We start from the raw sequence: 22,847 nt of genomic DNA, 5'->3' as shown, positions 1-22,847 counted from the left end.
TAGAAGCCCAAACCTTTGTATCATGCAATATACCCTTGAAACAAACCTGTACATGTACCCCATGAATCTAAAATAAAAATTGAAGTTAAAGAAGAAATAGTCAATTTCTGGCTGCAGACTAAGAAAGTTCAGCTACCTCTTAAAACAATCAAGTAATCTGTGGACAGCTCTACTTAGGGAACAGACCACTACAAATCTCTCTGCTATCGGCAGTCCCACAGCAACAGAAACCCTCTCAGAGGAGTTAGCACAGAAAGAGTAGGCTCTTCAGAAGTAGACAACTTACTTCACTGTTCGTGAGCATTCTCCCTTCATTCTCCCCACTGACCCCTCCTAGACTTCTTATTCAGGTGAGGTACTGGATGTTATCTGGGCCAAAACTTGTGCATCTAAATATGCCCCAATCCTAAATGTTACTCCTATCCAGGGCTGGCTGCCATTCATCTGGTGTTGCAGCTTATAACAGTTACTAAAATGTTGAAGTACTTATGTGTAAGTAGCTAAAGAAATTCAGTATCAGAGGGGTTAAATCCTGGCATGGCAGGGGCTTTCCAGGCATTTCTTCCTGGATCCCTATAGGTCCTGATGGTAGCTGCCTATACTAAACCACTTGTTTTATGTTTTGACTACTACCCCGAACATATTCATTCAGTAGTAAAAGAGTTAAGAAACTAGTATAGTAGTATCCATAAGACTAAACCTTCCCAAGAGGAAAGCTGTTAGCCAAAATCACCTTTCAGTTTTCTGGAAAAAGGCATCAAGCCCCCGAATGGTCTCTTGATGGAATTTAAGGGGTCTGGGAAGTTGGATGGGAAAAATTTACATCTTTATTTTCATTAAGCCCTTACTGAAATTTATATTTTCTTCAAATATGGGTATAGGCAACAAACTACAATATTATTAGCAGTATCTGAAACATTGTCACTAATAACACTCACAGAGTTTTCCTATCCGATTACAGTTCATGAAGATATCTTGAAATACTATTTACATTCATTACTACTTTAAAATTATACTAATGATCATACCAGCCACTATATCTTGTCATATAATTATTAATATAAAAGCACATGTGAGTATATTACAACTTTGTTCAGTATTCTGTTACTATTTTTTTATTTTCTTTATTACCCGATATACTTTATTTTATGCATTTTTTAAAACATTATTCTAGAAAGGAGACCAAAATCTTTACCAGAAAGCAGAGGATTCTGTGGCATAAAAAATATTAAGAACACATAGCATAGATATTATGTAAGCAGCATGTAATTGGTTTTCCAATCATTATTATTAAAGTAGTTGGTTTTAAGGCAGAGCTGTATCAAAGATTATTGATTAAAAATATTTTACAACACTATCTGCTATTTAGAGAAATTCACATCTAAGATTAGTGTTCTTTTTTAAAATGACACATGGAGTCTAGAATAAGATAATCCAAAGGCAAAAGTCCATCTACATGGACTCTTCTCCATGGTCTTCTCTGTGGTCTAACTTGACATACTTTCCCCTATATAGATAACAGGCTCACTCAGGAAAATACAACTCAAATCTAGGTGTTATTTGTGTTTGCATCGTGATTTCTTCCTTCACTTAGAAATTTCAAAGTTCATATTTCACTTTTTACTAATAAGATTCACAAAAAATACAGTGGAAGCAAATGACCTTGGTAAGAATGGGTTTTTACAATAAATGAATTTTTAATTCCAAGATGTTTTTTCATTGAAATTACTGCCCCAGTTGCATTAAAAGTGTGGCTGTGCAAAGCTTCCTTCTACCAGGCTTCATGTGCAGGACCTTGGTTTTTGTTGCCTTGGCAATTCCAAAAGCAGGTGTTGAAAGAGAAGAAGACAGGAAAAAGAAGATGGGAGAAAAATTTTCCAAATCAGAGTTCTCAGTCCAAGGACTTATTCTTGGGGGTTCAAAAATTCTAACAGTATTTTTAAATTGCCTCTATTTCGATGGTTACTTGATTAAACTGTTCTAACATTTCTAAAAATAAAAATTTGCAATGATAACTTTTATATCAGACTTTACCTCTGTTTCCCAAATTGGAATCTTTAGGAATATTTTTTTGAGATCACTTTTTTCCTTTTTTTCTTTAACAAAGATTGGGAACCGCTCTTAGGAACAGACAAATGGATTTCCATATTTCTTAAAGCGTTGAAGTAAATCTCTCCCACCCCCACCATTACTGACATTGAAGAAGGAAAAAGGTGAAGAGTTCAGTACTACTGAAAAGAGCCAACCAGTTATCTAAAAGACATATTTTGAGGCCCAGTATTAGCAACAAAGAAAATTTGTAGACCTAAACTCCTACTTTCCATATATATAAATAACAAACTGAGGGTAGGGGGTATGTTACTCTGGCATCTTTCTGCACGCTAAATTCAAAAATGTAAATACATTAGTAAAAGAAAAAAATTTATTTCTCTTCTGGTGTCTATTTATTGTGTGAAGCTAAAGTCGAGCATAACGCACAGGTGGTTTAAAATGCTTCTCTGCCATCTGAGATCTCGGCTTGCCAGGGTATAGATGGGGATGTCACTTTAGGGAATTGGGTTTATTCAGTATGTAAAATGAGGCTGGCATGGCTTCAGAGGTTTTGTCTGTGTCTTTACCCAATTAACGGTGTTTTTGCTTCCTTTTTTTTTAAACTTTTTCTCTTCTAAATTTTCTTTTTTTGGTTTACTCTATAGATGCATAAATGAGAATTACCTAGATTTTTCTATCAATTGCCCTAAGATTCTTAATACCTAGTTTTCACAATATATGTTTTCCCATCAAAATACATAGGAATTATTAGTAAATAAACCAGAAGTCATTTTGATCCTGATGCTGAAATAATATTTTAGTCACAACCAAGTTACAAATATTTATATTCTTTTTTAATGAAAATCTGTATTAATTTGATGGATGCATTGTATTCACACATTTTGAATTTTGTGTATTATTTAAAACAAAAACTAGGTTTTATTTTCCAAATCTGAGGTTTTGTGAATTTATTTTATACTAAGTATATGAAATTAACTCATGGTAAGGCTGTTAAAGAAAAGTGATTTAGATCAGGAAGGTACAGCTCAATATACTATTATGCATAAATATGTATAGTAAAATGAATATTGTCCTTAGTCACAAGTAATATAAGAAGAAAATCAACTCTTGGATAAATGAAGAATAAGAAATAAGATACAAAGTCTAGGTTTGATAATATTTAGATAATATTCAGGCAATATCCCTTATTGATACAGTGTGCATATGTATTTTAAAGGGAATAATTTTGAGAGCATGTGGGATTATAACGTCTGCCTTTTTGATTCCTTGTGTTACTGTATCTGTATTTAATGAAAAGGGCAGTAAGTGGCAATAAGAGACAGAAATGGTGAGACCTTTGTGAACCCTCTAGCAATCAGTGAATATCAGACCACAAATTTTTCCAGCTTTAATTACAGGCAAAAGAAAAGACAAAATTAGCATTTTAATATAGAAATATCTTAGGCTTTAGGAGAATTATGATAAATCTAATGTTGCCTAGTGAACCAGAGAGGGAACATTACAACAAACTGTCTCCTTAGGAATATTTGTTTAAATAAAGGCAACAATACTTAATCCTTATCTTTTTTAGATAATTACCACTATTTCAGGCTGTTCTTTGTTCCAGGTTTAAAATACCTTCAGTTAAAAAAAAAAAAAGCAATTGGCAGTGTTTGTTTTCTATAAAACTATAAGAAGAGAAAAATTCTGTTTGCTTGGCACTAACGAGATAATTATTTTAGGGAGAGTTTTTGCTCTGCAGCTCTAGTTCACGCGTGCCATGGCATCTCTGCACTTGGATGTATTTAGGTTATCTCATTTCAGTTACAGCGTATTAAACTAACTCTTCTTCCATGGCTGAGGTTTGCCCACCTGTCTCCCCTAAAACACCTGCAACATATGTTTGCATAACCCTGTAATGCTTTGCCTTTGGGGTCCTGAGAAATTCCCCCAGAGCTTTTTGCTTATAAACAGCTGAGCAATTCATTTTTCTAATGACGGTTGCTTTCCCCCCAGCATTGAGGCAATAACATATTCACTAAAATAAGGGTCTCATTTTTCATCAAAGAGGAACGTTCGACATATTTTTACAGTGCTGTTTCTCCTTCAGAGCTTTATTTTTCCCCTTTTGTAATCTAGCATGCTATAAAAATTAAGGGTTGGTAGCAAGATATTAGGGGAAAGAAAGCTAAGTAATTCTTCATTTGTCAAATATTTTCTATTCTTCATGCCAAACATACATTATACTGTAAATATTTTTTCCTGTTAAACAAGTGCTATAGAATTTGTCAGTTTAATGTAAAAATTGTGACTATCATTTTTATAGTTTTATAGTTTTATAAAAATGATAATTTGGACATACTGCAGGAAATCACTTTGATTATTATATTCTCATATGCTAGCAAACAAATGCTGCATTAATAGTATGATTTTACACCTTTTTCATATTAATAAACCTATGTGCTCCTATTCTGAGAAATAAGACAGCCTCTCTCCTCACATGAGATCCAGCATTCATATTTTTTCTATGTGTTTTTGCTTTAAAAAATATAATGCCTGTCAAAATCTATCCTAAATTCATGTATAACTATTTGAAGTATGAAACATCACTTTTTCCACCTATTTGTTATCATGAATTTTAGGTCGTCAAACTGTCAGACCTGCCCTCTGATTCATGTCTGTCAGTGCTCAGTGGTATCAAAACGTAACCATAGCTTCCATTTCATTGAGTTCTTATCAAGTGCCTGGTATTGTGCTGGGAACTTAGTTCTCATTGTGTCAATTAATCCTTACTGCAGTTTTGCAGTTGAGTGAACTAGAGCTTAGAATGTAACTAACTCATTACAGTTGCTCCACTAGTAATGGATGGAGCAGGAATCTGAGTACGACCCTCACTGACTCCTGATCCCTTGCCTCACCTATCAGGCACCCTGCGCCTGATGCTAGAGCACATGAGTGCCAATATATTTACCCTAGTGCTTTTGTTTTCAACGTATAACTTCACCTCTACATTAACTCCTGCTGGTACTTTAATAAATTAGAACAGGCATCTCTGGAATTGATATTCTTTTGCTCTTTTCAGTTCTGCCAATATTTATAAATAGCCAGTCCTTTGAAATATACTCTGCTGTTCAAAGCAAGATGAGACTTCTCCTTCTGTAATCTCTATTTGATGATTCAAATGGAGATACCACCTTGGAGTAAAGAACAGGAGTTAGGGGATCAGTCCAGAAAGTACTGTTTGTAATTACCTTTGTTGGATGAGTTTGATTTCTCTAGACTCAGTAGAAGGAAAATATGTACCACCTTATAGTTATGTGTACTTCTTGTAGCATCTAGTATTTAGTTAGGCTTAGTGTGAATTAGCATTTAAATATTTTTATACTATCATAACAAAATGAGTTTGGACTTAAAATATTGAAATGTTGCCATAGGGGTAAGAGTGGCAGAGAGGAGGTAGGTCAGCTGATCTACAGACTTCCATTACAGAGTGCAGAGTATGGCCAAGGGGAGTTGTTCACCATCCAAAGTCAAACTCATTCTTGGACAGAATGTTTGTTTTACCTAAAATTACATTAAAGAGCAGTCTACTCTCATATAATATATACCTCAGAAGTGGACAGAGTTAACTATAACTTAGATCGATTTCAGTTTTTATCTATTTTGATTGCTGTTATTTAAGCATTATTGTAAGTCGATTTTGTGATGATGCTAAATTAACAGAAGCATTTTGCAAAGTCAGAAGCGTAGCATGGGCTTTATTTAGTTTTGATTTGTTATTTGCATATTGTTTCTTCTAGAAAACTTGCATCTACCACTGTCAGTTCTGCTTCTGTAAGTCACTTTGTCCACAAGACTTTAAGATACCTGCCCAAAATTCAGCCTGTCCCTGCCATGGGTTTGATGTTCAGCATTCTTCTTATATTGCTATAAAATAAAATGCTGAAGAAAAAGCTGTAAATAGAGTTTCAACAACATTAACAGAAAAGAGTTGAGTGATACTTGGGCAGTTAATGAACTGAAATCTTGTGAAAGACTTATTTCAGGCCCATCCTGGTTGGCCTAGGAAAGGCATGGTAAACTCAGGATGAACTGAATTTGAATTTGTGATTTCTGTACTTTTCTTTTTTCTTTCTTCATTTCTTTTTTTTCTTTCTCTTTTTTTTTTTTTTTTTTTTGGAGACAGGGTCTCATTCTGTCACCCAGGTTGGAGTGCAGTGACACAATCTTAGCTCACTGCAACTTCCTCCTCCCAGACTCAAGCTGTTCTACCTCAGCCTCAGCCTCCCAAGTAGCTGGGACTACAGGCATGTGCCACCATACTCGGCTGTCTTACCTTTTAAGAGATAGGATCTCGCAGTCACCGAGATTGGAATGCAGTGGCATGATCATAGTTCACTGCAGCCTCAAACTGCATTCAAGTGATCCTCCTGCCTCAGCAGCATGTACCACCATGCCCAGCTAATTTTTTTTATTTTTTGTTGAGACTGTGGTCTTGCTATTTTGCCCAGTCTGGTCTCAAACTCCTGGCCTCAAGCGATCCTCCTACCTCAGCCTCCCAAAGTTCTGGGATTACAGGCATGAACCACTGCACCCAGCCTACATCTTTATGTATAGTTATATAAACTTCCCAGGACATGGAACATAATTGGTATTCCTCTGCACACAGACTAATATCAGTTAAGATATGATTACCATTTTGCTATCTTTCTTCGAAAGGAAAATTCACCAAAACAAACGCATTTAAAAAAAAAATACATTGTCGGCCGGGTGTGGTGGCTCACGCCTGTAATCCCAGCACTTTGGGAGGCCGAGATGGGTGGATCATGAGGTCAGGAGATTGAGACCATCCTGGCTATCATGGTGAAACCTCATCTCTACTAAAAATACAAAAAATTAGCTGGGCGTAGTGGCGGGCGCTTGTAGTCCCAGCTACTCGGGAGGCTGAGGCAGGAGAGTGGCGTGAACCTGGGAGGTGGAGCTTGCAGTGAGCCGAGATCGCGCCACTGCACTCCAACCTGGGCGACAGAGCAAGACCCTGTCTCAAAAAAAAAAAAAAAAAAAAACATTGTTTTGGAAATGCTCATGATAGTTGAAGTCCCGACTGTGTCAAAATGAGTTTAAAATACAGTCATGTACTGCATAATGACATTTGGGTCAACAACAGACCACACATATGATAGTGGTCCCATAAGATTATAATACCATGTTTTTACTGTACCTTTTCTGTTTTAATATGTTTAAGTACACAAATACCACTGTGTTGTACCTGTCTACTGTATTCAATACAGTAACATGCTGTACAGGTTTGTAGCCTGGGGTCAATGAGCTGTATCATATAACCTAGGTGTGTAATAAGCTATACCATCTAGATTTTTGTAAAATATATTCTGTGATGCTCACACAATGATGAAATCACCTAATGACACATTTCTCAGGACGTATCCCCATCATTAAGCAACACATGACTGTAATTGCCAATTGTTCCAATACAGATGAAGACATAATGTTAAAGTGTTGACATAACATGTTCTGCCCAATGAGAAATCACAGTTTTCATGGGGTCTGATTTTTCTTACATATAGAGTTTTACATATATAGAATTCTAGTAGCTCTTATATTTTAGAGGAGATTCCAGAACTTTAAAGGTTAGAAATCATTATATTTTTATAAAGTTTTATTTGAAAAAAAAAAAAAAACTCCTTTAAGAAAAGCAAATATTAGCCAAGCGTGGTGTCTCACACATGTAATAACAGCACTTTGGAAGGCTGAGGTGGGTGGTTCACTTGATTCCAGGAGTTCAAGACCAGCCTGGGCAGCATGGCAAAACCCCATCTGTACAAAACAATAAAAGAATTATCTAGGCATGTTGGTGCATGCGTGTAGTCCCAACTACCAGGAGGCTGAGGTGGGAGGATCACTTGAGCCTGGGATGTCAAGGCTGCAATGAGGCAGAGGTGGGAGGATCACTTGAGCCTGGGATGTCAAGGGTTCAATGAGCCAAGATAGCAGTACTACACTCCAGCCTGGGCGACAGAATGAGACCCTGTCTCCCCCCCCACCCCACCCCACCCCCCAAAAAAGGAGCAAGTATCTCTTCTAAAATATTTCGATTGCATAAAGTGAGAATTCCGCTCATTTAATCTTGTCCCCCTAGGAAAACCATTGATATCATTTTGGTACGTCCCAGTTATCTATCCATTGACCTTTATGTGTACATTTATATATGTATTTTTAACAATGATTTGAACCTGTTACCTAGTTTCAATTTGGTTTTGTTTTGGTTGTTGTTTGTGTGAGATGGTATTCCAAAATTCCTTAACTTTTTAAAACCTTATTTAATAGAGATAAAATTAACTTAATTGAAAGAGAAGAATTATAGGTAAATTGGAAGAACTGTACTTACTGAATCTTAATGTATAAAAATATTGGTATCCTTTTTATTGTTCATGTCTAGATGTTGATTTTTATAGCCATGTAGTGGTGTACGGGTGTTTCAGATGTTTCATTTTATGCTGTCCAGTACAGTAGCCACTTGCCACATGTGGCTGTTTAGCACTTGAAGTGTGGCTAGTCCAAATTGAGATGTGCCATAAGTATAAAATACACACTGGATTTCAAAGACTTTGTACAAAAGGAACAATGTGAAGTATCTCATTAATAACTGTATATGTTGATTACATGTTAAAATCATAATATTTTAGATATACTGAATTAAATAAAATATCACATTTAGTTTCACTTGTTTCCTTTTTATTTTCTTTTTTAAATGTGGCTACTAGAAAATTTTAAATTATAGGTGAAATTTATATTTGTGACCCACTGTTGGACAGTGCTGGTCTAGATCCATCTATATGTCTGTATATTTATGTTTTAGAAACATCACTGTCTTCCCAACAGAAAAGAATAACTTTCAACCATAACCTCTGATTTTATTTTCTTCACATTTCAAATGCTGTTTTTCAACATCATCTTTTGATTCTTTTTTTTGTTTCCAGTACAGTGGTACTTTAAACTACCTCTCCCTTTGATACCAGTAAGTCTCTTAGGAATTTAAATAGGCCTCAGTGAAAGCAATACTTGAGCCTCATTTATATGTTCAAGTTAGATCATTATTCCTAATAATGGCTTTAAGTGCTTAGATAGATCAGCACTCTGTGTCTTGAATTGCTTGTCATTTCTTTATAAAGATGTTTCAAGTAATTGCTCCATGTGATCCCTTCTTTCATTATTTTATGGCAAAAAGTAACATAATCCTTTAGTAGTTTGTTGGAAGTCAGAGAAAAGGGGTCTTTTTTTATTAGCAGAAACAAAATGTATTTCCAGGTACTGAGAATAAAGGGCAAAATTAGTCATGAGCGATAGTCCTGCGAAAGTTAATTTTTAAAATACATCATGAATGCACTGTCAATCTGCCAGTGGCCTTAACCTCTATTTTATTTTCCCATTATACTTGGGTCCAGGTTGTCATCAGCTACCATGAGAAAACCTATGTAATTCCTAGAGAGAGAAAAGTTGCACTGTTAGACTTAATAGTATGGTCGTCATGGAAGCATCAGTTATCTTCATCAAGGCAATTCAGATTTGATTATTGTAGAACTGTGTTGAATACCAAACCAGTGGAGTAGTAGCTGGAGCTAAATCAAGGGATTGTCATTTTTGTCAGATGATTAGGGCTGGCTTGGAAGAGATATGAAAGGGTTGAGCTGTATAAATATTCTCCTTTCAGCAGAAAAAGAAAAGGTCCATCATGGCCATTAAATGCGGCTTGTTCGCTTGATGAATTTCAAACTGTTTAACCTTAGCAATTATATCCCCCCGCAACCCCCCCCGTGCCTGCATGCAAGTGTATCAGTGCCTTGGAATTATGTCTCCAAGGATTGATTTCTGCGCATATTGGTAATTTTCTATTAAGATAATATGCAGCTTTTCCGTGTCCAGATATGTATCTCAAAGGAAGTGCATGCCTTGGTTCAAAAACCTAATTATTAACTTGAATTATCTGCCCAGGTAAACATTAGAACACATTTATTTATAAGGTTTTAAAAACTTTTTATGGTAAATATATGTAATTTAACATTTTAGAGATTATGGTATTCATTTAAATTATGCTGTAAACATGATTGGTTTTTGTAAAGCAGAAGTATATTTGTTTAATTTTTACTCGCCTGTGAGGGATTTGAACATTTAAATAATAGATATGTTTAAATAATAGCAACACATATAAACAGACACCGTGGACCTAATGATTCAAGGACATTTCTGCAATGTTTATAAATAATGTTGCATTCTAGAAAGGGCAGTGTTTTTGCTACTTTTGTGAAAATGTGCATTGGTCAATTTGCTTTTGTATAGTAATGGTTATCCTGGTAATATTTCTACTACCTGGCATATTTTGACCATTTATTAAACTCATAAATAAGGATAGATGACATAGAAATTGCTAACTTTAAAAGAATTGCTGAATTCTGAAAATAACTCATTTTGGAACAAGAAAGTCTCAGTGTGCCATCTAGTGGACACATTTAGCATTCTGGTCATAAAAAACTAATGACTTTCTCTTCCCCCGAAATGCAGTTACCTTGACACCTTATGTCTCTCCATCCCTTGGCATAGTTTGTGGTTGTGTTACATCTCATATAGTTTTTAGATGTTATTATAATTTTATTCATCATATTTTAGGAAAGTTATATTTGAAAATTTTATTTTGAAGTCATCAGAAATCTAATGATGAATAAATATTAACTATGAGAGAGGAAAAAATAAATAATTTTTGTGTTTAATCAGAAGTAAGGAATAATTTAATAAAAGCAAAACCCAATCACACTAATTATTAAACTTTATATTATACATATTCTTTTCTGAAGGGATATTAAAATGATCATTGCTGTCCTCTTATATGTTAATGGATTAAATCATTTAACTAGCTTTTTAAAAATGTATTTTTTTTTAGAGAAATCCAAGACCAGTGACTTATCAATTCCATCCAAATTTAGATTATTACAAAGCACGAGGAGCAGACCTCATGAATAAAAGCCGGTAAGTCCCCTTTTTCTGATGATAGTTATAAATCACAAAGGTAGTCTCAGAGATCATCAGGAAATTTTACATATTGCTGAAAACAATTTTCCAGATTTTAGCATATGTACATAAGGAATCTTTGTTAAATAAATTACCCAAGTTATTTTAAAGGCATAAAAAATGCTATATATTGATGTCAATGGTAAGACGAAAAATAAATATAAGAGTACTTGTTACAATTTGAAGTTAGGCAACTTCATTTTTCTAACATGAATAAACTTGCATAAATTGTGCCTACTTGTATAATCTCTTTCTAGATTTTTGCTGTTGATTGAAAAGAGACAGTTTTATAATATATTTTTAAATTATTTCAGTAACAAAATTAAAAATGTGTTTCCCAACTGTCTTTAGAACTACACAATAAGCTTATAAATGCATCTTGTGTGTACATTTGTGATTGCATACATAGAAATTTTAAGGGTCACTGTAGGAATAAAAAACATTAAAATCCTACTTTTTAAAGAAGTTAACATTGGCAGAAAGGGTTGATGAATGGTTTTGTTCTTTCATAATATCATATTGAGATGTCTCAAGAGTTAACTTGTCAAACCAGAATCATTTCAAATTAGAATGTAATTTCAAAGTTTACTCTGGAAGACTAAAATGTTAGTAATGATAAATGCTGCCAAGTTGTCCGAATTTTCTTCCTCAAGCATTTTGCCTATGTGTTAGCTTTTCTTCAGTAGAATTCCAAGAGCCTAAATATACATTTATGGAATACATATACACAATGTGTTCTGCTGTTACTGGAGAGTTAAAAATAAGTTATAATTCCTGCTGCATAGGAACTCATAGTCTAAGGGATGAGAAGAAGTTTACAACAAAATGGCTAAATTTAAACTTGAAATTTGAACCTTGTCTTAGTGTAATGTTGTTATAAAACTCCCCATCTCTGATTGAAATCTGTTTGCTCCATATATTGATGTACCATGCAATTATGAGACCAGTTCTGTAGCTCATGAGACTTATCTGAAGCTCTTTTCTGTTTGTTCATTTCATCTGAGTCTTGTTACACAAATAAAAATTTATTTGCTATAGTCACTTGATCATTCAACAGAGTTTTAATGACTGCCAGATTGATTATTTTAAACACAGGAGATGCCCAGTAAAAACCCAGACCAAAATCCCTGCCTTCAGTAGTCTTACACCCTAGTCACTTATATTTCTTCCCATTATGTCAGATATTTAGTTTTGTTATGTTTAAAAGAACAAAGTATGTTAGTCTTTTTCTTTATACAAGACCTTTTTAGCTGGAATCCTTTGTCTTCCCCTCCCTCCCAACCCCCACAAGATTATTTTTTACACAACAGCCAACTAAATGTCAATTTATAACAGGTTATATCATACCTCCATGTAAACATCTCCAAAGGCTTCCTATTGCCACTGGCTATCCAGTCTTCTTCCTGAAGCCCTTTCCTATCTCTTTGACCTTATCTCCTTCCACTCTCTCCTTCTCTTCATTCTCATGCTACAGCCACATCAGCCTTCTCTGTTATTTGCCCTTGCTTAGGGCCTGTGCACCTAACTCCTCCCTCCTGCTAGAGCACTTCTGCCACCCCCATCTTCCCATGCCTCTTCATGATTTAAAGCTCAGCCTAAATGTCATCTCAGAGAGGCCACTCTTAACCTCCTGCCTGTCTTCACCTCCCCTATTCACTCTATCCCATCATCATGAACTGAAGTTATATAATTCATTTGTGTATTTATAATCTGTCTCCCCAACGTCTCCACTAAAATCTAAGCCCCTGAGGGCAGGCTTTTGTCTTATTCACCACTTCATGGCACCTAGGACAATGATGACTGGTATAGGGAAGGCACTCAACACATATTTGTTATATGAATTTTTTGAAATATTTTCAACACCTTTTTCTCCACCACAGGAAATGTATTGTACCCATTATTTTCTCCCCTTCATGATTTTCTTCTCTTTAGCCTTCTCTCCCTGCATTTTTCTTCCACAAAATGTTGGTTTTGTTATATATATATAACACATTGAGTTTATATATATATAACACAATGAGTTTATATATATATTATATATATAACACAATGAGTTTATATATATATTATATATATATAAACACATTGAGATTCTTGTGCAAAGTATCTTGAAGATTGGAAGGAACACTTTTTGTCGTCTTTTGCAATTGCAAAGCTTAACATTGAAATTCAACTAAATAAAATGTAGTAATTGAAGCAGAAGACGTCACAACTCAGTAAGCAAGGAAATAGTTAATAGACGGTGCTGGGAAAATTGGCAAATCTTTGAAAAAGTATCAACCACACACAAAAGTAAATTCCAAAGTGCACTGAAACAAGCAAACATAAAAATAAAAATGCAAGTGCCTATCTGACCAATAATCTGACCAATAGTTACTTGAAGACTTTTTAATCTTATTTCAAATTTTTTTTGTTGTTTTTATTTTTTGAGACCGAGTCTCGCTTTGTCGCCCAGGCTGGAGTGCAGTGGCGCAATCTCGGCTTACTGCAAGCTCCGCCTCCCGGGTTCCCGCCATTCTCCTGCCTCAGCCTCCCAAGTAGCTGGGACTACAGGCGCACGCTGCCACGCCTGGCTAATTTTTTGTATTTTTAGTAGACGGGGTTTCACCGTGTTAGCCAAGATGGTCTCAATCTCCTGACCTCGTGATCTGCCCACCTCAGCCTCCCGAAGTGCTGGGATTGCAGGCGTGAGCCACTGCGCCCGGCCTAAATCTTATTTTAAAATTTTTAATTGACAAATAATAATAGTGTGAAGATGTTTTAACCTTTAATGGAGAAAATCACAAAGGAACAACTAATGGATTTTACTATACAACACATATTTTAAAGTAGATATGTAAAAAATAAACTGAATCAAAAGACAAACCAAAAATTAGGAAAATATTTGTAGTGGATGTAACTGGCAAAATATAATATCATTAATGTATGAAGAATTTAGGCAGTTCAGTAAGAAACACAGGATCTGGCCGGGTGCGGTGGCTCACACCTGTAATCCCAGCACTTTGGGAGGCCCAGGAGGGCAGATCACGAAGTCAGGAGATCGAGACCATCCTGGCCAACGTGGTGAAACCCTGTCTCTATTAAAAATACAAAAAATTAGACGGGAGTGGTGGCACTAGCCTGTAGTCCCAGCTACTCGGGAGGCTGAGGCAGTAGAAACGCTGGAACCCAGGAGGTGGAGGTTGCAGTGAGCCGAGATCGTGCCACTGCATTCCAGCCTGGGCGACAGAGAGAGACTTCATCTCAAAAAAAGAAACACAAGATCCTAAGTGGCCATTCTGTCTCTTGCCATGGTCTGCTAAATCCTCTTCTTACTCCAAATATTGGAACAGCCCCAACCCCACACTTCTTTTCTTCTCTATACTCATTCCTTTGAGGATTTCAACTCAGTTCATGGCCTACAGATGGGTCCTTAATTTATGTCTTCAGTTTTACCCATCCCTTGCTACTTACTAATATTTTCTCTTGGATGTCCCACATGTAGCTTAAATTTAGTATTTTTCAAACAGAACTGTTGATTCTACTCCCACACTCACATGCCTGTTATGCCCACAATGTTTCTCACAATAGATACCAAACTTTGTTTCTCTTTGACTCCAACCTTTTTCCTTTCTTGGCCTTAATCTGGAATGAGTGTAACAGCTTTTTCTTCTAGTATATCATCAAACCTAATTGGTAGTCTTGGGACCCCCCCCCCACCCCCGCCACGGTAAAGACAAAGGGTAGGCAAAGATTTCTTATACGGGAAACAAAAAGCACTAGAAAAGATAGATAAAATGAACTTAAAATTAAAGGTTTTTTTGTTCATCAGAATATGCCATTAAGAAAAAGAACAGGCAAGTCACATACTTGGGAGTAATATTTTTAATACATATATCCCGAATATATAAAGAATTTTTGTATGTCAGGAAAAATATAACATAGGCAAAATACTCAACAGCCTCTTCACAAAAGAAGATATAAAAATCATCAATGTGCTATGAAAAGATGTTCAACATTAGTCATCAGGAAAATGCAAATTAAACCACAATGAGATAACATTTCATACCAACTATAATGGATAAAATAAAATAAAAAATTGACAGTAGCAAATGTTGGCAAGGATGTGGAGCAATTAGAACCCTCATGTATTCCTGATGTGAGCAGAAAAGGTATAACTACTTTGTAAAATAGTTTGGTAATTTCTTATGAAGTTAAACATATATCCTGTAATATAGCAGTTTAATTTCTAAGTGTTTATCCGAGGGAAATAAAAACACATATCCAAAAGCCACAACAAACAACATTGAAACAGAATATTCACAGCAGCCTTATTCATAATACCCCAAATCTGGAAATAACCCAATCTCCATCAACAAGAGACCAGGTAAACAATTTGTGGTACATTCAAATAATGGAATACTACTCAGCTATAAAGGAATGAACTAGAGTTGTTCCTGGGGGAATTGGTTCCAGGACCACCTGCATATAGCCAAATCCACGTGTACTTAAGTCCCATAGTCGGCTCTCTCATATAGGAACCTGCATATATGAAAAGTCAGCCTTCTATATACATGAATTTCACATTCCTCTCTCTGCATTTGGTTGAAAAAAATCCGCACGTAAGTGCACCCGTGTAGTTCAAACCTGTGTTGTTCAAGGGTTAAGCATACTGATATATGCAATAACATACATGCATCTCATAAACATTATGCTGAACAAAAAACGCTAGTCAGAGAAGAGAGCATGTTGTATTGTTCCATGTATATGAAGCTCGAGAACGGGCAGCTAGCATGTGGTGATAGAAATCAGAAAGTAGCTACCTCAGGATAAGGGTTTGGAATTGACTCTAAAGAGACATGAGCGAATTTGGGAGTAATAGAAATGTTCATTCTAGGTATATTATTTGGGATGGTGGTTATACAGGTGTACACAAGTGTCAAAACTCATCAGATTGAACATTTAAGATCTGTATATTATATATAAATTATACCTAAGTTTTGTTTTATAAAAAGAAAAAGATGTATTTGCTCTGGACTAGATAGGAGACAATGTTACTGTTTTACCTAAATTGGTTAAGAATTAACAACTCTCTTCAGAAAGAGCACTTTAGTTGTACCACAAATGCTTAGTTATTTGAACACAAAAAATCATAAAGTTGTATTTCTATAGCCATCAGTGTCCTTTGAAATTCTGATCAACAAATTACTAATACTGATAACCATGGACTCCTTGGCTTCATGGCTTGGAGAACATTATTAGCATATTATTTCTTTAATGTAATTTAGCAATAAAACATCTGAAAAAAATACAGTCATTATAGAAGTAAATAGAATTAAGCATTTAAAAAATCTTACCATATAAAATGGAAGTTGTTCAGGAGAATCTTATAATGCTTTTTAGGTTTCAAAACAGTATGTATTTATTCAATCGTTAAACTAAATATTTATTGAATACTATACACAGTGCCAGACGCTGTGCTAGGCCCTGGGAATATGATGATTCTAAGACCCACACCCTGATATCAAGGATGTTTAGGTTTATGTGAGATACCACTCTTAGGCATATGGGTTACTCCACAATTGAAGTGAACAAGTATTCATTCATTTCACAAATGCTTTAATTTCTTCTCTGTGCCAGGTATTGAGAGAACATCAGTGAAAAAGATAGATGTGGTGCCTGTTCTCACAGAGCTCAGATTCTAGTATAAGATTATAGTCATTGGAAGAATCTTTGTGTACCCTGGGAAAACTGCACTTTTCCAGGACATTCTGCTTAGGCCAGCCCTTGAGAGGAGCACTCCTAAGCTGAGGCAGATCCTGATCCCTGGTAGAGATGGGGAATTATTGGCCGCTAGGCTTTCTTGGGGTAAGAATAGTTACCATTACTCCACAGACACATAGAATCCTGCTGAGGAATGTGGATACATCTTAAATGCCCAGGAAACCCTCCTAGTAAGAATCTTCTTTTCCTAGATCCTGGCTTCCTCTTATATGTCAGGCAGGGGTCCTGACTAGCAGCCTTCTACAGAGGACCTACATGCCAGAATTAAAATTCTGGAATCTTTCATCATCAATATCAGTGAAGTTATTTAGGCTCTGTCGGGGCAGAGGAAAACTGGGATAGTTAGCACAGAGAATGTTATTTCTGATCTGCTGGAGTGAGAGATCAAAGAACTAATCTTGGTTTCTTCCATCTCTGTTAAATTTCAATTTTATCAAATGAAATACCTGATTTTGGTTGTGTAAAATTGCTTAAGCAAGTTAAAAGACCTATAGCTGTGGAGTCTGTAAAAAGCCGTCACTAGATAAAGTGACATACTCTTGAGGCAGTACTGACAGCTCAGCTACCATTTATTTTATCACCTCTTCACAGGAGAAAGAATTTTACATTTTGAAAAATTGTGTCATTTTCAAAACAGAAAATCCATGAATGTTCTGGAATAAAGAAAATATGAGATTCTACTCTTAGTGTAGGAGATTGCAGACTTTAAAAAATATGAAGTTCTGTTCTGTGACTATTCAATTGAGCATTTCAGTAGTCACAGATTCTTAAATAAGTTAGATGGATCTTTCTGAAGACTGGTCACAATTTAAATGTACTTTTTTAATAGCAGCAATTTCTGGTTATTTAAGGACAAAATTGGAATAAGATTTTAGTGTTAAATTGTCATTCCAAGCTTTCTGAATGAGTAGGAAAATGTCAATTCCCATTTTTAAAAAGAAATGTGCAAGTAAGTTAAATCAGAGCAAAGTGAATATTATCCATACACGTAATGGAAAATCTATCACTAAAATACCTAGGCAGTTGCTTTTAAAGACTTAATTATAGCAATCCATGGTGAAGCAGAGAAGAGAAATCAGGCTTCTTGATTTTTAGAGATATTCTTATCCATGAAATCACATGTCATCTTTGCATCCTCTTTCCTTATTTGGATATGCAACACAAATAAAAGCCCATTGCCATAGATGTAGCAGGTATTAGCCGCCTGCTTTCCATATGTGTGCCTGTCTCTTGTCTAACCTCCACTTCTAATCGCTTCTACTGGGGGGGGGGGGGTTCCCGTGAGTATATATATTCCCTCTGGATCATCATTACTTCCCCTCTTGCATGACAGCCCCAATGCACCAACTCTTTAATAGCCTCCAAACAGCCAAGGAAATAGTAGCAAGGCCAATTATGGCTAAAGAGCCAAGCCTGGTGAAAGCATCCTAGGCCTTAAGTAGCTTAACAGGAACTTTATCAAAGGTTCCACAGCTACAGTGGTTTTTTTTTTACCACAGATAAAAGAGTGGACCATGATGAACAAATCGCCAGGGAATAATATGGGTTATCAGGGCTCCATATAGAAGTGGAAGAACTCTTTGGTAAGATTATCAAGCTTGTTTCCATTCGTACTCCCTCATTGGTGACTAAGGAAATACAGGCACTTTTACCAGTGCTTGCTCATTAATTATTAATTTGCTAATAGGAAAGGTGCTAATAAGAAAGCTGAAACTTTTTGTTGCTTCAATTTTCATTTCTTTTACTAGTTGTGGATTTGAATTGCTTTGTAAATGTTTATTTGTGCTGTTTGCAATTCTTGCATTTAGTGCCAACAAGACAAACATTGAGTTTATATTTTAATGCAAGAAACAATCAAAATATACCACAATAATTTTTAAAGCTAAAAATAACATCAGGAAGTGAGAATTTCTATAAGAAACACAAAACCAATAACAAAGCAAAGAGACAGAGTTAAAGGAGTTCATTATTTTAAATAGAGTAGTCAAAGTGAGTGTCTCTGAAAAGATGCTATTTGAACAGACTGAATAGTGAGGGTGCCACGTGGATTCTTGGGGAAGAACATTTCCCGTTATAGGAAAATGCAAGTACAAAGCTTCTGAAGTGGAAAAATGATTCTGCGCTTGAGAAATAGTAAGCAGGCCGGTATGGCTGGAGCCCAGTGAACAACACGCAAGGGTGGTAGCAAATGACATTGGTAGTAAATGAGGTTGGAGAGATAGTAGGAGGCTAGATCATGTAGGGCTTGCCTTACAGGCCATTGAAAATGCTTAGGGTTTTATCCTAAGATTTTTGGGAATTCACCAAAGGGCTCTGAATGGTGGAATGATATGATCTGACTTAAATTAATCTGGGTGCTGTGTGGAAAATAGTCTATAAGGAGGAGAGGAAACAGAGACTAGTTAGGAGATGAGCAGCAAGATTAGCAATGATATGGTAACATGGTATTGGCAGTGCAGAGAGAGAAAAGTGATTTGTTTGAGTATATATTTTGACTAGCATTTGCTGATGGACTCAATGTGTAATGTAAGAGAAAAATAGGAGTCAAGGGCAATTCTAACTGGGGATTATTACAAGCACTGGGTAACTGTGTATTATTACAAGCACACCTCATTTTATTGCATTTTTTACATATTGAAGGTTTGTAGCAACCCTGCACTGAGCAAGTCCATCAGCACTGTTTTTTCAATAGCATGTGCTCACTTTGTCTCTGTCATATTTTGGTAATTCTAGCACTATTTCATATGTATTCAGTATTATACCTGTTAAGATGATCTGTAATTAGTGAGCTTTGATGTTAATCTTGTTATCGTTTTGGGGCACCATGAACTGCACCCATATAAGACAGCAAATTTAATCAATAAATACTGTGTGTGTTCTGACTGCTCCACCAACTGGTTCTTTCCTCATCTTTCTCCCTTTCCTTGGGCCTCCCTATTCCTTGAGACTTGGTAATATTGAAATTAGGCTGTATTAGGCCATTTTTGTGTTGCTATAAAGAAATACCTGAGGCTGGGTAATTTATAAAGAAAAGATGTTTAATTGGCTCACAGTTCTTCAGGCTGTACAAGCCTGGTGCCACCATCTGCTGGACTTCTAGGGAGGGCTCAGGGAGTTTTACTCGTGTGAACTCAGAGCAAGAGCTCACTTATCACCAAGGGGATGGCACCAAGCCATTCATGAGGGGTACACCCCCATGATCCAGACACCTCTCACTAGGCCCCACCATCAACACTGGAGACCACATTTCAACATGAGATTTGGAGGGAAAACATATTCAAACCATATGATAGGCCAATTAATAACCCTATAATAGCTTCTAAGTGTTCAAGTGAAAGGAAGAGTTACACATCTCTCACTTTATATCAAAAACTGGAAATGTTGAAGCTTAGTTAGGAAGGCACGTCAGAAGCTGAAATGGGTCGCAAGCTAGATCTCTCGCAGCAAACAACCAAATCATGAAAGCAAAGGAAAAGTTTTTGAAGGAAATTAAAAGTGCTACTCCAGTGGACACATGAATGATAAGAAAATAAACAGCCTTATTGCTGATATGGAGAAAGTTTGAGTGGTCTGGGTAGACAATCAGACCAGTCACAACATTCCCTTATGCCAAAACCTAATCTAGAAGCAAGGCCCTAACTCTTCAATTCTGTAAAGGCAGAGAGGGGTGAGGAAGCTGCAGAAGAAAAGTTGGAAGCTAGTGGAGATTGATTAAGGAGATTTAAGGGAAGAAGTTGTCTCTGTAACATTAAAGTGCAAGGTGAAGCAGCAAGTACTGATATAGAAGCTGCAGCGAGTTATCCAGAAGATGTATCTATGATAATTGATAAAGGGGGCTCGCTACACTGAACAACAGATTTTCGGTATAGATGAAACAGGCTTCTACTGGAAGATGCTGCAAAGGACTTCCGTAGCCAGAGAGGAGGATCAGTGCCTGGCATCAAAATTTCAAAGGGCAGCCTGTCTCTCTGTGTCACTGTTGAGACCTACTGTTCAGAAAAAAAATATTCCTTTCAAAATACTACTTCTGACTAACAATGCACCTGGTCACCCAAGAGCTTGCACCCAAGCATTAATCAAGGAGATTAATGTTGTTTCCATGCCTGCTAATACAATATCTGTTCTGCAGCTCATAGGTCAAGAAGGAATTTTGACTCACAGGCCTTATTATTTAAGAAATACATTTCATAAGGCTATAGCTGCCATAGATAGTGATTCCTCTGATGGTTCTGGACAAGGTAAATTGAAAACCATCTGGAAAGGATTTACCATTCTGGATGCCATTAAGAACATTCATGATTCATGGGAGGATGTCAAAATATCAACATTAACAAGAGTTTGAAAGAAGTTGATTTTAGAAGAAGTTGATTTCAACACTCATCAATGACTCAGAGGGATTCAAGACATCAGGCCGGGCGCAGTGGCTCACGCCTGTAATGCCAGCACTTTGGGAGGCCAAGGCGAGCAGATCACCTGAGGTCAGGAGTTCGAGACCAGCCTGGCCAACATGGTGAAACCCTGTCTCTACCAAAAATACAAAAATTAGCTGGGTGTGGTGGCGGGTGCCTTTAGTCCCAGTTGCTCGCAAGGCTGAGGCAGGAGAATCGCTTGAACCCGGGAGGCAGAGGTTGCAGTGAGCAGAGATTGCACCACCACACTCCAGCCTGGGTGACAGAGCGAGACTCTGTTTAGAAGAAAAAAAAAAAAAAAAATTAGTGGAGGAAGTAACCACATGGGGTGAAAATAGCAAGAGAACTAGAATTATAAGTGGAGCCTAAAATTGTGGCCAAATTGCTGCAGTCTCATGATAAAACTGTAATAGAAGAAGAGAGTTCCTACGGATGGGTAAAGTGGTTTCTTAAGATGGAATCTACTCCTGGTAAATATGCTATGAACATTATTGAAATGACAGCAAAGCATTTAAAATATTACATAAGCTTGGTTGATAAACCAGCAGTAGGGTTTGAAGGGATTGACTCCAATTTTAAAGAAGTTCTGCTGTGGGTAAAATGCTATCAAATAGCATCATGTGCTATTGAGAAACCTTTCTTTAAAAGAAGAGTCAATCAGTGTGGCCAACTTCATTGTTGTCTTATTTTAAGAAATTGCCACAACCACCCCAACATTCAGGAACTACCACCCTGATTAGTCACAAGCCATCAACATTGAGACAAGACCCTCCATCAGCAAAAAGCTTAAGACTCACTAAAGGCTCAGATGATCATTAGCATCTTTTGGCAATAAAGTATTTTTTTAATTAGTATTTTTCCTTTTTTTAGACATAGTGTTATTGCACACTGAATAGACTGCAGTATAATGTAAACAGAACTTTTATATTTACTGGGAAACCAAAAAAATTGTGTAATTCACTATTGTGATACTTGCTTTATTACAGTGGTCTAGAACAGAACTCATAATAATAACTCTGAGGTATGCCTGTACAAACTTTCAGTTGTTCTCTCCCAGTGGAGTGCTTAATTCTCCCAGCAAGATAAATGACAACACATGCAAAGTGTTGCCAAGTAGAGCTGCTCACCTAAGCCTTGGTGTCCCCCAGGATTTTTTACTGGGAGTCAGTCATGTAGGCATGGAATGCCCATGTGACTAACCTTACCTACCCAGTCTCCAATTCCTGCCCAGAGAGGTCAGACTGATACAGTGTGACCCAGGACCCAGGTGAAAAAAAACAGGTGTTTACCATACATCCCATTGTTAGTGTAAACAATTTGGTGTGACCCAAGGCCCAGATATATAAAGACGCTTTTATCAGGCAGGATATTCCAAAGGCTTATAGGTTATCTCCCAGGAATCAGTCAAGGGCCAGTCCTTTGAAAGGTACAGGCTTTGGGCAGCACAGGTATGCTGAGTTAACCCTTTACTGTACAGTCAAAGATAGTCTCTTGTTTTCATCTAAAAGTTGTGTGGTTCTACCATTTGTATTTAAATTTATGATCCACCTCAAAGTAATTTTT

At 36.4% G+C, this 22,847-nt stretch overlaps 1 protein-coding gene across 65 annotated transcripts in view; it reads left to right on the top strand.

The window, feature by feature from the left end:
* The window catches only part of TBC1D5 (TBC1 domain family member 5), a 585,470-nt gene that overhangs the window by 473,056 nt on the left and 89,567 nt on the right, over positions 1–22,847 (top strand). For 62 of the 65 annotated variants that reach the window (XM_047449296.1, XM_011534283.4, XM_047449314.1 and 59 more), the window contains one exon: positions 10,985–11,070. In XM_047449296.1, coding sequence (XP_047305252.1) covers positions 10,985–11,070 — 86 coding nt within the window. Of the gene's footprint in view, positions 1–10,984; positions 11,071–18,374; positions 19,770–22,847 lie in introns of those variants that run through there. The other 3 variants (XM_047449322.1, XM_047449320.1, XM_047449321.1) reach the window with 1 other exon arrangement.

Source organism: Homo sapiens, chromosome 3 (assembly GCF_000001405.40).
Source record: "Homo sapiens chromosome 3, GRCh38.p14 Primary Assembly".
Classification (NCBI taxonomy): Eukaryota; Metazoa; Chordata; class Mammalia; order Primates; family Hominidae; genus Homo; species Homo sapiens.
The sequence above is the reverse complement of the archived record's forward strand: the minus strand, read 5'-3'. Positions and strand labels throughout refer to the sequence as shown.